This window comes from Homo sapiens, chromosome 10, assembly GCF_000001405.40.
Source record: "Homo sapiens chromosome 10, GRCh38.p14 Primary Assembly".
Lineage (NCBI taxonomy): Eukaryota > Metazoa > Chordata > Mammalia > Primates > Hominidae > Homo > Homo sapiens.
In genome coordinates this window covers 104,188,918-104,203,632 of record NC_000010.11, presented here as the reverse complement: position 1 = coordinate 104,203,632, position 14,715 = coordinate 104,188,918, and the positions used below count along the sequence as shown (strand labels likewise).

Here is a 14,715-nt window from a genome sequence, read left to right as displayed (position 1 = left end):
TAGTATTATTATCATCATTACATGACAGGAATGAGGAGCAGAGTATGCTGCACAGTGGTACTCTACTTGTCAAGACTCTAGGTTGTAAATGAAAAAATACCCAATTTAAAAGGCCTAAATTACAAAGAGCTATTGGTTTATTTTTGTGCATGTAACTGAAAGGGCAAGGAGTGAATCTGAATAAAAGAGCTACCATGATGCCACCAAGCCTTGTTTTTTTCCATCTCTTGGCTCTGTTTCCTCTCTGCTGCCTCCATTTCCATGCAGACTCTCCGCTTATGGTGTTAACAGTTATATGTAGCTCTAGATTATATTTCTGCCTGCTTGATGTCCCTGGTGGAAAGATACCAGCTAGAAAAAAAATCTTGGAATCTAGACTCATTGGACTGACTGAATCACGTGTCTACCCCGGGTCAATCACTTGCACCATAGGAATCCTAAACTCTGATTGGCCAGGCCTAAGTCAAATGCATAGCCTTGGATGCTGGGTAGAGTCAACCCACTTAAATGAGAACTGAGATTGGGGCATAGGTTGTTCTCCAAAGAAAATGTGTGTTCTATAAGAGAAGAAGAAAAATGAATTATTGCAAGATTAAAACAAACATTTACTTCAATTATACTGCTAGGAAGATTCCTAATTAATGGAATGATCTTCAGACATCAAGATTAGCAGATATTTATATTGTTAGACAATCATTTTAGATGAATTGCAAACAAAATTCAATGACTTTCTGCCTGAAAGAAACTTAAATTTAAGTATGGAAAGACTTTTGTTTCTGATAATTACCAGAAGTTTTTTTTAAAAAAAAAAAAACTATGCTAACTTATGTTTTAATAAATAAATGACTAACTTAAAATATCTATGGAGAATAGGAAACTAGGAAAAAGATATCATAAAAGAAGGAGGAAAGACCCAAATAGAACTTCTAAAGAAGAAAAATACACTAGCAAAGTAAAAATTAAATGAACATGTCTGACAAAAGGTTGGACATAGCCAAAGAGAGAATAAATGAATTCGAAGATAGATCAGAAGTTATTCAGAATGATACTAGAAAAGCAAAAGGGTAGGAAATACAGAAGGGAACATAAGAGATAAGAACAATACAGTGAAAAGATCTAACATATGTTTGATTAGAGTCCAGAGAGGAGAAAGTGGGACAGAGGCAATAATTAAAGAGATATTGACTGGGGATTTCCCAGAATTGCTTAAAGACATGAATTTACAGATTTAAGAGGTCCAGTGAATCCCAAACAGAATACATAAAATGATATCCACACTTAGACTTACCAGAGTGAAACTGTTGAAAACCAAAGACAGAGAAAATTTTAAAAGCAGTCGGAGAAAAGACAGATTACTTCTAAGGAATTTCAGTTAGACTAATAGCTGACTTCTCTGTGGCAATAATGTAAGAAATAGTGGAATAATATCTTCAGTGTAGTGCAGGGTTCAGCAAATTGTGGCTCCATGGGGCAAAACTAGCCTGCTGCATGTTTTTCAAATAAGATTTTATTGGAACATAGCCACACCCACTAACGTATTGTTTATGGCTTCTTTCACACCACTATGGCAGCATTAAATAGTTGTGGCAGAGACTACATGGTTTGCAAAGCCTAACATATTTACTGTCAGCCTATTTATAGAAAAAGTTTGATGACCCCTGATGTAATGAAAGAAAATAATTACCACCTAGAATTCTATACCCAATGAAAACATCTTTTCAGTATGCGGGTGAAAAAAGACATTTTAGACACTCCAAAGCTAAGAGTGTGTCAGCAGCTGACTATCACTAGAGAAAATTCTAAAGAATTTACTTCAGGCAGAGGAAAATGATCCCAGGTGGGAAGGTCTATGATGCAACAAAAATAAAGAGCAGTAGTAATAGGTGGAGAATGACACATTGTAGAAGATGTACAGTAAATGAACACTGCATACAACAGCAAAAAAAAAAAAATGTGAAAGTAGTTTTAAAAATAATATTGAACTAAAATCCCAAATAACAATAATATAAGTTGGGGGGGGCAGAGCAGGGTATATAGAATAAAGTGTTCCAAGGATCTCATATAACCCAGGAGGAGAATAAAGCTTAAAGTAACTTTTGATGTTGATAAATTAGGTACACATGTTACAACTTCTAAGGTAACCACTAAAAGAATAGGAACAGTAGATGAAATTTCCAAACTAGAGAAAGTGAAATGTAAAAAAAAAGTTTAACCCAAAACAAGGTAAAAAAGAGAAAGAAAATGAAATGCAAAACAATTGAGATAAACAAAAAGCATAAATTAAAATCTATGTTTAAACCCAAATATAAAAAGATGGAAAAAGATATGTAAACATTAACCAAAAGAAAACCAGTGGAAATATATTAACATTAGACAAATTAGGCTTTAAGGTAAAAATCATTACTAAAGATAAATGGGCTTATTTCAGAATAATAAAATATTAAATTTACCAGGAATATATGAATACTTAAAATATGTATGTACCTAATAGCATAGCCTTAGAGATTTAAAACAAAGCATGACAGAGTGACAAGGAGAAACAAAGCATTGATATTAATGGAACATTTTAATACACTTCTTTCATTACATGATAGAATAAACAATGTATTCTCAACATAGCAGCCAAGGTGAGCAAAGCATTTTTCTCTACTAGGCAAAGCCCTCCAGTGATTTCCTGTCATTCTGAGAAAAAGCCAAAATCCTTACTATGTTTTTAAAGGCCCTTCATGACGTGGACTCCAATCCCCACCTCTGGCCTTATCTGCTACTACTGTGAACTCTTGTCCATCCTGCTCCAGCCACACTGGCCATCATGCTGTTTCCTTGAATCTGCCAGACATGCTTCTCCCTCAGAGTCTTTGTACTGGCTTTTCCCTCTGTCTGGAATGCTCTTCCCACAGAATCTACATGGGTAGTTTCCTCATTTCCTTTGGGTCTTTTTTTTTTTTTTTTTTTTTTTTTTGAGACAGAGTCTTGCTCTGTCACCCAGGCTGGAGTACAGTGGTGCGATCTGGGCTCACTGCAACCTCCACCTCCCAGGTTCAAGTGATTCTTATGCCTCAGCCTTCTGAGTAGCTGGGACTACAGGTGTGCGCCACCATGCCCAGCTGAATTTTTGTATTCTTAGTAAAGATGGGGTTTCACCACATTGGCCAGGCTGGTCTCAAACTCCTGGCCTCAAGTGATCTGCCCACCTCAGCCTCCCAAAGTGCCGGGATTACAAGCATGAACCTTCAAGTCTTTTCTCTAAAGTTACCTTTGTTCCCGGACCGAACTGAGGGTTGGGCTGTTTGTTCTCCTGGCCCAATAACGAGATGCAGATGAACTGGGAAAGAAGGGAGTTTATTTCTGTAACCGGGTGCAGGGAGAAGGCTGGGAAAATATCACTGGACCAACTCAATATTACAAAGCTTTCCAGAGCTTATATACCTTCTAAGCTATATGTCTATGTGCAAGTGTGCATTCATCTAAAGACGTAAGTGATTAACTTCTAATATATAACTAAGGCCTGAGTCCTGAAGACCTTCCTCTGGAGCCTCAGTAAATTTACTTAATCTAGATGGGTTCAAGTGCCAGGTATGATTACCCTTATTTTGTCTCCTGCTAAATCATGGAGGTTTGGGGAGTTCCTTAGACCCCCAATAAAGCTTGTTTGTGGAGGTCTGGGGATTTTCTTCAGACCCCCCAATAAAACTTATTTAATTCTAAGTGGGTCCTGTTGAGAATTCCTTCGTTATCTTGTCATGCTTCAAGGCCCAGGAAAGGCCTAGGCAAAACTCTTGGTGGGGTTTTGTTACATTCAAGCGTTTGTGTAAGGGCACTGGCTCTATTAGCTTTTAATATTTAACTTAACCACTCAGTCATTGCTGAAACAGTTGTCATGGAGGCCTGCCTGTTCAGCTGTTAGTGAGACCTGGCCTGCCACACCTTCTCACTGAAGTCTTTCTTAAACATGCACTTTAAAATTTCACCCTCTTATTTTGCTATATAATGTTCTCCTTCTCTGTTATATTTTCTTTTTCTTCTTACAATTATCACTGTTTAACTTACAGTATATTTTATTTGGTTATATTATTTATTGTCTGAATCTCCCAGCAGAAGGTAAGTTCCGTGAGGGCAGGGGATTTTGTCTGTTTTATCCTCTGCTGTAACCCCAGCATCTAAAGCAGTGACTGGCGCTGTGTATCCACTTAATATTTATTGAAGAAATGAAAGAAAGATAACATTAGTAAATATCTACCAAATTTTGAACTCCTATAAAGTCATTTTTTTTAGATAAATAACACCAGAAATATTTATGTTTAACTCAAGTAAGCGTGAAGAACTTGTGATTAGCTGAAAGCAGACTTCTTATTGCTGGTTAAGTGACCATATTATATTACCAGCTACTTGGTAGAGATGCATTCATTACAGAACAGATTTTTTTTTAGAGGTGAGTTTGGGAGCTGAAAATAATAAGCATAAAGTGACAGCTTCAGCCATACCTCAACTATTTCTACAAAGGCTTGTTTAAATGTTTAGTGTTCCTTCCATTATATTTAGCATGTGGTAGGATTTAGTACATCTTAACAACTTTTTGGGTTTTACACATTTTCCAAATTTTCTACATAAATAGATATTATTTTTGAAACAGGAAAAAATGTTTTGTTATGTTTTGTAAATTAAAAAATAAATGTCTGGGAGACCAGGCGTGGTGGCTCATGCCTATAATCCCAGCACTTTGGGAGGTCGAGGAGGGGGGATTACTTGAGGTCAGGAGTTTGAGACCGGCCTGGCCAACATGGTGAAACCCCATCTCTAGTAAAAATACAAAAATTAGCCGAGCACAGTGGCGGGCACCTGTAATCCCAGCTACTCAGGAGGCTGAGGCAGGAGAATCTCTTGAACCCAGGAGGCAGACGTTGCAGTGAGCCAAGATTCCGCCATCGCACTCCAGCCTGGGCGACAGAGGGAGACTCAGTCACACACACACAAAATAATGAAATTTTAAAAAATTAAAAATAAAAAACGAATGTCTGGAATTGAAGAAGAAAGTCTTATGGTTATTTATGAGGCCAGGCGCAGTGGCTTACACCTGTCATACCAGCACTTTGGGAGGCCGAGGTGGGCGGATCACCTGAGGTCAGGAGTTTGAAACCAGCCTGACCAACATGTTGAAACCCTGTCTCTAGTAAGAATACAAAATTAGCCGGGCGTGGTGGCGCATGCCTGTAATCCCAGCTACTCAGGAGGCTGAGGCAGGAGAATGCTTGAACCTGGGAGGTGGAAGTTGCAGTGAGCTGAGATTGTGCCATTGCACTCCAACCTGGGCAACAATAGCAAGACTTTGTCTCAAAAATTAATTAATTAAAATAAAATAAAATGATGAATAAGTGAATGAATGAATGAATCAACCGATCAATCAATAAACAAACAAACAAATCAAGTGTCTGGATTTTAAGCCCTTCAGGGTCAAGGTCTTACTGAGTTGATCTGTGATTTCCCATATTCTGTTTCCACATAGAGCCTTGGTTACAGTAGGCATTTAATAAATATTTGTTGAACTATATACACAACAATTACAATGTGTTTCTTTTCTTTTGTATGTTTATCAGGGATCTGTTTATATCTACACTTTTGGTAAGGAGCCAACCTTAAATAAAGTCCTAGATGCTTGTGATGGGAAATTTCAGGCAATTGACTTTATCACACCTGGAACCCAATACTTCATGGTAAAGAATATTTTACTGTGTCACAGTAGGACTAAAGATACGATGATGTTGCAAGATTTAAATCCCCATTTATATGTTATTGGGTAACTTTGAAAGTTCATGGGCAAAGCAATGCGAACAGGAGGCAGAGGCTGTCCTTGAAGACTGTGGTGGAGATGCCAGACACTTCCATCTTCAAATCTACCCCCCGGTTAGAATGATACCCTCATATTGTGACTTCATAATATCATCTTCTGAAAACAGCCAACACAATTGAGATCTTAGGAGCCATCTTTTGGTTTTCACCACCCAAGCTCTGCAAGCCAGGCTTTAACACGTTTTTAAAACACATTCATTGCTAATGAGTCATCAGCACTAAGTAAACTGTTAGTATTTATTTAGTATCTTTTTTTCCAGGTAATGCAGCAGCACCACCTGAGGTTGAAAATGAAATAGTTGCCATGTATAATACATTAATTCAGTCTAAGGAGTCAATAATAATATGTCAATATTGGCTCTTCAGTTGTAACAAATGTACCACACTAATGCAAGATGTTAATAGTAGGGTAGTAGGTGTGTGGAGGGGAAGGTGAAGGAGAACTCTACTTTCTGCTCAATTTTTCTGTAATCCTAAAACTGCTCTAAAAAAATAAGTTCTAGTAATTTAAAAAAGAACAATGTATAGTTTCCTATTTCTACATTTGTTCATTAGGCAATAGTTTTACTGATTTTTATAAGCAACTTTTATCTTTAATATGTTACATGAAAAATCTTTATTTTACTTTTCTAATACTAATTAGTTATGTATTAAATTGCATTAAAGATAATAGTTAATATTTGCTCAGAAACAAAGCATTGGCGTTGAAATGATAAAATAAGTATTTATAATCCACGTAAGTAAAATGAAATTTTATACTAAATCATTGGCACACTGGAAAGGGAGGTAGAACATGCTTCCATAGGAAAGTCTTATTTTCCATGTAGAGTTTTTGTTTTTCTTTTTTTACAGACACTTACATATTCAGGGGAAATTTGTGTTTGGTGGCTGGAGGATTGTGCTTGTGTAAGCAAGATTTATCTGAATACCCTAGTAAGTATACTTGATAAATGGATTTTAAAAAAATACTGAATTCTAATCCAATCTACTTTTTCATATTCACATGTCAATAGTCTGTAGAAATACTTGTTACCGAAGCCTCACTGCATTTTTGCCTTCTAGATTTACAGTAATCCTTGTGTGTAAAGTATATGCCACAGCCCCAAGAGTGGAACCATAGCATACAATATTGGTTATAGAAAACAATAAGTTTTTCTGTGGTGGCAGTTGTTTTTGAAACCCCAGTAGTTTATATCTTACTCATGCCATAAGTTCATTGTGGATTGGCAGGGGTCCCTCTTGCACAGTCTCTCAGGGAGCCAGGCTGATGGGGGTTCCACCAAAGAATACTTCCTCTGTGCTGTGTGGCAGGAGAGGAAGAGAGTGCTGAAAGGTCTTTTGGAGGGAGAGGGGGTGCTGTTGAATCAGCAAGTAAGTGCTTTTTCTCAGAAATGAAATATCCCTTTGGCCATAATTGGTTAAATGGTCCCATTTAATGGAAATCAATTAGAAATGAAAGAAAGTTGCCACTCTAACCAGCTTAAGCCAAAAATTAAAAAGTAAGTGTTATTGGCACAATCAACTATAAAGTACAGAACTTGTCTGGCCTCATGTGTGCCTCAATCCAGCAGTTTAAATGATATACCAAGGACCTTGTCTTTCTGTCTCCACACTATGCCTTTAGTTTCATCTTAGGCTTCATTGAGGTACACCCAGATACCACAGGTGCCAACCTCACATCATACTGTCAGAGAGGGAAGAAAAATTCCTGCTGTAGGAGGAGGAAGAACAAAGATGCTTCTTCTTTCCAGAAGGTTCAGTAAATGTCTTGCAATGTCTTAATAACATCTGTGAACTAATCATATGCACAGGGGATGAGAAATGCAATTAAGTGCATAATTAATGCACAAACTCAGCCCTGGAAATGGGAGTTAGATTCATTCCACTCATCCCTGAAGATAGGGGAGGGATAGTTTCTCAGTGAATATTCAAGAGATTTTCCAGGAGGGCGTATGGATGCTGAGTTGCAAACCACACTGCCCAAAACACCTACCACAATGTGATACCATTATTTCTGCCATGTTCACAGTGCATTTTGCATAAAATAACATTTTAAAAGGACCAAGAAACAACGGTAATGCTTTCTTTTTTTAAAAATAATATTATTTGCTGCATTACACAGTTCTAGTTGAGAAATGGATCTTGGTATTAGGTAGGGAAGTTTCAGTCCTTCCCTTTTATAAAACTAAAATCTTAATTATAAAAGACTAAGCATCATATTTTACATAAGATGCCAAAGATACATAATTCAATGTGATAAATAAAACTTTCCCACAAAAGTAAAGATAAAAATTCTTACTGAGAAAACTTGAAATATGAAAAGACTCCATAGTCTATGTGACCAAGGGTTATATGTATTCATTTCTATTAGAAATAGTAAACTAGGAGAGATCTTACAAGTGCATTTAATCACATGTCCTTTCACACATTAGAGACACAGAAACGTTTAACAACCCACCCAGGGGCCCATATAATCAGGATATACCTTGTTCCTCTTGGGCAAGGAGGGATACAGGTACCATTACCCTATAGAGAATTGATCCAGACACAGTAATGCTGATGCCAGGTCTCTCTGCCTGCGTCCGGGACTGTGTTGCCTTCCTTCAGGCAGTGGTCCTGGGGGATCCCAGTCCAGCAGCACAGTGTCAAGATACCTGGACACTAGCAGCATCCGCTGATGGTACCTGCAAGGGTACATAAGACTCCTCTGGCCCTTGCTGTACATTTTCAGACTAGCACACCATCGCCCTGGAATGAAGGAGAATTTCAGCTGATTATTTTTATTTTGGGAACACATACACATATACACACACTTCCCACAGAGGTTTTCAATTTTACAAAAAGCCCACTCAATTGGGAGACTGTGTGCATTCTAATAAGGCAGGACACCTGGCTGCTTCATCTGAAGTTTGTCACCACATATGGGATCCTTGGGCAAGCTGCTGGACTTCCTTGGCCTGTGTTTTCTATTTTGCAAAATGATCTCTTATGTTCTTTTTCAGTCCTGAGTTCCATGATTTTATTCAAAACAATCTACAAAGTGTTGATAGAGAAAGAATACTGATTTCTCTAGTATTATGAAAGTCAATTTATTCTCTTAGACATCATATTCTGTATAAATCATTGTGAGATAAATGGGAATCTGTTACGCATTTCTTTGGTGACTGAATACATCTTCCGGTGATACAGTTATTTTCTTAAGTCTTCCTTAGTCATACCAGCATCTCAGGATCTATAAAAATGTTTTAAAAAGCCAGGTGTGGTGGTTTGAACCTGTAATCCCAGCGACTCGGCAGGCTGACACAGTAGGATCACTTGAGCCCAGTAGTTCAAGACAGAGGAAGACCCCATCGCTAATAAATAAATAAAAATTTAAAAATGTTTAAAAGATGCTAAGAATTTCTTTTAAATTCCTTATTTTTCACTATTATTGGTCTAATTGTTTCACAATCACTTAAATAGATTATTGGCATAATCATTTCATCATCATTTAGGGATAAAAATGAAGCCATGATTTCAATTTCAAGAAATCTCTCTCTAATTTTTATTACTCTAATTTTAGGATAAAAGAATAAGATGTACAGATTCCTGTGCCATCTTATGCAGTTGATCAGCTCAGGAACGTTGAGGGTATAATTTGAAAGACCCCACCACACAACACTTGCCACTTTTCTCATCCTGCAGGCTTTTCAAGTACACTGTATAATAGCATTCTTACGTGTAGGAGAGCAGGCACAATAGAGATACGCATCTGGGGTTTATTTTAAACAGGCAACGGTTCTGGCTTGCTGTCCATCCTCCCTCTCTGCAGCCGTGGGCACGGAGGATGGCTCGGTCTACTTCATCAGCGTATATGATAAGGAATCCCCTCAGGTCGTGCACAAGGCCTTTCTCTCGGAATCGTCCGTGCAGCACGTCGTGTAAGTCCTTTCTGCCTCCAGGAGCGGCTCCGTGTCACACCCGTCTGTTGAAAATTCTAGTGAAGCCATCCTTTCTTTTAATTTTAAGTTTTACGTGTTTCATTTGTTTTGAATGTTAATATATTCACACAGTTCAACACTCAAAAGGTACAGAGGGCTGTGTAGTAAAGTACCCCCCATACCCAGGTCTGTCCTTGCAGGCAGCCTGGTACCAATTTCTCATGTCTCTCCTGAGATGTTTTATCCATGAACAAGCAAAACATAATAAGCACTTCTTTTTACTTGTATCAATGGCCATCATGTGTGTATAGTGTGCCAGGCACTTCTGCTGTATTAACTCCATGAGGTAAACACTCTTGTTGTCTCTATTTGACAGGTGAGGAAGATAAGGCACAAGGATTTTAAATAACTTGCTCAATAGTACACAGATAGTGAATGGCAAATGTTGGGATTTGAACCCAGGTAGTTGGGCTGCAGAGTCACTGCCTTTGCTCTTAAAAGGAGAAAACTATGTACAATGCCTCATTTCTTTTTTCACTTAATCGTATATCTTGGAGAATGTTTTATATCCACACATAAAGACCAGCCTGATTATTTGTATAGCCACATAGTATTCCATTATATGAATATACTATCATTTTTTAAAAACGGTATATTAATGAACATTTAGAGTATTTCAAAACTTTTGAAGCAATACTTTTAAGATGATAATATAGAGACATTAGATTTGGACTTGTAGGTGCTATCATTATTACTGTTTCTTTTTAATTTATTATATTATTAGGTATTAATAAGAACAGACATTTGTATTCTGCTTTACAGCTTGAGATCACTGTAGCTTGTGGCATGTGATCCTCAAAACACCAGTCAGAAAGGTGTTATTCTTATCCCTATTAGACAAATTAGGGAATTCAGGGTTAGAGAGGTGAGGAAAAGCATTGTCCAAGATTACACATTACACAGCTAGCACACTGAGGAGCTGGCCCTGCCACTGTGGACTGCCCAGCTCCACCACCCTAGCTCAGTGGGGAAGGATGGATAACCTCCTTCCATTTACCCCCTGCCTTTCTGCACTGTCATTTTTTTGTGCCTTTCCTTTCTCAGATCCTCTTATTCTAATTTACATCTTCCCACTTTTTCTAATTTGATAAAGTTGTAGACATGTTTCACTACATTCTTCCTCCCACTGCCAGGTACCAGACACAGGGTAATGAAATGTCACACCCACCACTAATTTGAGAATTGCTTATTTGCGCTTGAAACATCAAGAAAGCTCTACCGACAGACATGTTTCATTCACTTATGATGAACCAACTGCCCATCTTTACTGAATCTTCTTGACTGTATTTATTAAAGTTGCAATTTGGAAATATCATTGGCCTAAAGTACAATGATTATATCCACATGTAATCACTCCACTTTAATAAGGTCAGAGAATATTAAAAATTGCAAACCGTAAAAATGACTGGCTTTGAACATATCTCTGTGGCCATTCAATAAACTTGTTCACCATCTAGCTGGTGAAACAATTGGGATTTGATCATCAGATTTCTTCTTTTCTAGTTATGATCAGCAAGGAATATTTCTGTTAGTTGGAACAGCAGAAGGAAAAGTCTTTATTATCAATGCCAACTCCTCAAGCTCATTTCAGATTATTGGATTCACAGGTACAACATAGAATGCTGATTAATTTAAAATATTGATTATTTCAAAGAATTTAAGGTTATGAAAATGGACTTTTCATATTGAATATTGAAACAATTATTTGTGGCATATTTTCTGAAAGAGAAACCTTTAAATAACTAAAGTTACTTAGGAGAATTCTCACATTATATTTTGATGTATTTGGAATATTAGAGTTATCTGCTTGGTACATAGTTGGTGCTAAATAAATTTTCTTGAATCAATTATTAAATACATTAATGAAATGGCTGAACATTTCTAATATTAACATACAGAGAAGTTGGGTTGATTTCTCTTGAAAATATTTTTTAATATTTTATCTCTAATGAAGAATTTTCTCTTTATTTTCTCTCTGGCTTTACATGCCAACTGTATATGTGTTTCCCCCCCCCCACACACACAATTTTTTTTAAAATTCTCCTTAAAAAAAATTTTTTTTTTGCTCCTCACACTTTGCCAAGTCCCACTCCTAAGTTTTTAAATTTGTTTATCATTGACTTATAAAAATTAGTGAGTGCCTACAAGGTGCAAAATGCCAAACCTAGGCCTTGTAGGGGGATGAAAATATTAAGGAGACAATTTAGTAGAGGAGGAAAATGCAGAATGGTGTGTAGGCTCAGATACTGTGTAGGCTCAGATACAGCAGCAATTCATTCTGCCAAGTGTGAGGAGAGGAGTGGAGGTGAAGGTGGGCACTGGTCAGGGGGTGCGGAGGATTGGAGGAGTTTTCCAAGGGCTTAAAGTAGTGGGTTTGAAGGATTTTCATAGGTGTGGGATAGGACATATTAGTATTCCTGCTCAAAATAATAACCCAAACAAAGGTACTTGGAATGGTAAAAAAGTCTGGTATAACAGGTAAATGGAAGAGTTTACTAGAAGATGACTATGGCAATGAAGTCTGAAAGAGGAAGGACCTTGAATATCATTCCAAAGAGTCTGGAATTGTTCTGTGGTTAATGAGCCATCATCAGTGGTTTCAAGATGGAGCTGGCATGATTTGACTTCGTTTTTAGAGACTGACTCTGATACCAGTGTGAAGGATGGAGTAGAAAGGCAAAAGAATGAAATTAAAAAGATGAGATTGGAAGCTATAATACTAGCCAAGGCAAGAGATGATCATAGTCATAATCATAGCAACAGCCAACACTTATTGAGGAATGCCTGACTATGTGGTAGCCAGTATTCTAAGCCCTCAGCATGTCTCCACCCATTGAATTCTTAGACAACTTTCATGAAATTGATACTACTATTATCTCTCCACATGAGGCAATTGAGGCGAAGCGAGGCTAAGTACTTGTTCAAGGCCATGCATCTAGTTAGTGGCAGAGCCCAGTTAAGGAAGTCCAGTTTCAGGGCGTGTGCTCTTATCCACAATGCACAAACTCATGCTGCAGTTACAGAAAGAGAAAAGAGGGCACAACCACGAGTGATGGAATTGGTAGGACTTGGTATTTGATGCGAAAGGAAGGGATAAGTGATGACTCCAAAATTTCTAGCCTGAATGGTGGAAGTTTGCAATGCCATTAGTTGAAAGTTCTAGAGGTTGAGGAATAGGTTGAGCTGATGAGTTCCATAGGTTTAAAGCCAATAAACTCTTCATTTGGGCATATTTAGCTTAAGTTTGGAAATCGGGATATGTAGTTCAAGGCTTAATGATAGAATTCTGATCTTGAAATCATGGTAGCTGATGAGATGGCTCAACAGAGTGGAAGTAAACCTGGATGCTTAATAAGGCAAAAGAGGTAACTAAATATGCAAATTAGATGGCACTGAGTGTGGTACAGCCTGTGGCTGACCTCAGAGTGGATGTATATCCTGCCTAAATATTCCATTTCATTTATTTTATTTTATTTTCCAGAGTCTTGCTCTGTCACCCAGGCTGGAGTGCAGTGGTGCAATCATAGCTCACTATAGCCTTGAATTCCTAGGCTCAGGCAATACTGCTGCTTCAGCCTCCTGAGTAGCTGGGACTACAGGTTTATGCCCCAAAGCCTGGCTTGTTCTCTGTTTTGTTTTTGTTTCCTTTTTTTTTTTTTTTTTTTTTTTTGAGATGGAGTCTCGCTCTGTCGCCCAGGCTGGAGTGCAGTGGCGTGATCTTGGCTCACTGCAAGCTCTGCCTCCTGAGTAGCTGGGCCTACAGGCGCCCGCCACCGCGCCAGGCTAATTTTTTGTATTTGTTAGTAGAAACGGGGTTTCACCATGTTAGCCAGGATGGTCTCGATCTCCTGACCTCATGATCCGCCCGCCTTGGCCTCCCAAAGTGCTGGGATTACAGGCGTGAGCCACCACGCCTGGCCTTTTTTTGTTTGTTTGTTTGTTTGTTTTGTTTTGTTTTGTTTTTTAGTAGAGAAAATGTCTCTCTATGTTGCTCAGGCTGGTCTTGATCTCCTGGAGTCAAGCAATCCTCCCACCTCAGCCTCCCAAAGTATTGGGATTACAGACATGAGCCACTGTTCCCTGCCCCATTTTTAATGTATCTGTTTGGCCAGAGGGTGGGATGGAAGAAGCTGGGAATAGAACCCTGGTCCACATTTTATATTGAAGCTGTGGACAGAGGAAGATGAGGCAGTGAAGAAAACTGAGGCTGGGCCAGAGTAATAAGAGAACTGGGAGTCATTCTCTCCAGAAACAGCCTAAAGAAGGAAGGCAGATGAAAGTACAGGCTGACACAGAAGTGTGGGTAGGGAGAGGGCTGAGATAGGCTCTCATATATTTGCCAGTCAGCAGGTGATCCCTGAGAGAGCTACTTCTTTGGAATGAAGAAGGTTAGGGAGGGAATAGAGGTAAGAAAATTAAGTCAGAAAGTGCCAAAACTATTTTAGGAAGTTTGCAGTGGAGAAAAGAGAGTCAGATGTTAACTGTTGTGGGACAGCAGAGTTGGAGGAAGGTTCTTATTTGAAGACAGGGGAGTCATGAGGGCTGAATAAAAGGAACCATAAGGGACACAAGAAGCTAAAAAGAGGTGATTGATAATGTATGGTCTAATAGGAGATTGGAGGAATGGGCTCAAAAATCACAGACAGGGAGGGGTTACATTTTGTTCCTACATCAATGTCAGGAAATGAATGGAGAAAATGGAAACAGACAAGGGGAAAGTGTGAGTCTCAGGATAAGAAAGTTGAGATTGAGTTTATGTAGATGTCCTTGGTCTTCCTTGTTAAGGAAGAGGGAAGGTCATCTGCTGACCGCCTGGGGAAGGGCCTGAGAAAGTGGGCACCTGCAGCACAGTCCCATGAAGAATGGGAGAGTGAATCTGGAACAAATC

At 38.4% G+C, this 14,715-nt stretch overlaps 1 protein-coding gene across 1 annotated transcript in view; it reads left to right on the top strand.

The window, feature by feature from the left end:
• The window catches only part of CFAP43 (cilia and flagella associated protein 43), a 102,477-nt gene that overhangs the window by 28,732 nt on the left and 59,030 nt on the right, over positions 1 to 14,715 (top strand). The window contains exons 9-12 of the mRNA NM_025145.7: positions 5,595 to 5,711; positions 6,700 to 6,780; positions 9,619 to 9,767; positions 11,331 to 11,434. Of these exons, the coding sequence (NP_079421.5) occupies positions 5,595 to 5,711; positions 6,700 to 6,780; positions 9,619 to 9,767; positions 11,331 to 11,434 (451 nt within the window). The remainder of the gene's footprint in view (positions 1 to 5,594; positions 5,712 to 6,699; positions 6,781 to 9,618; positions 9,768 to 11,330; positions 11,435 to 14,715) is intronic.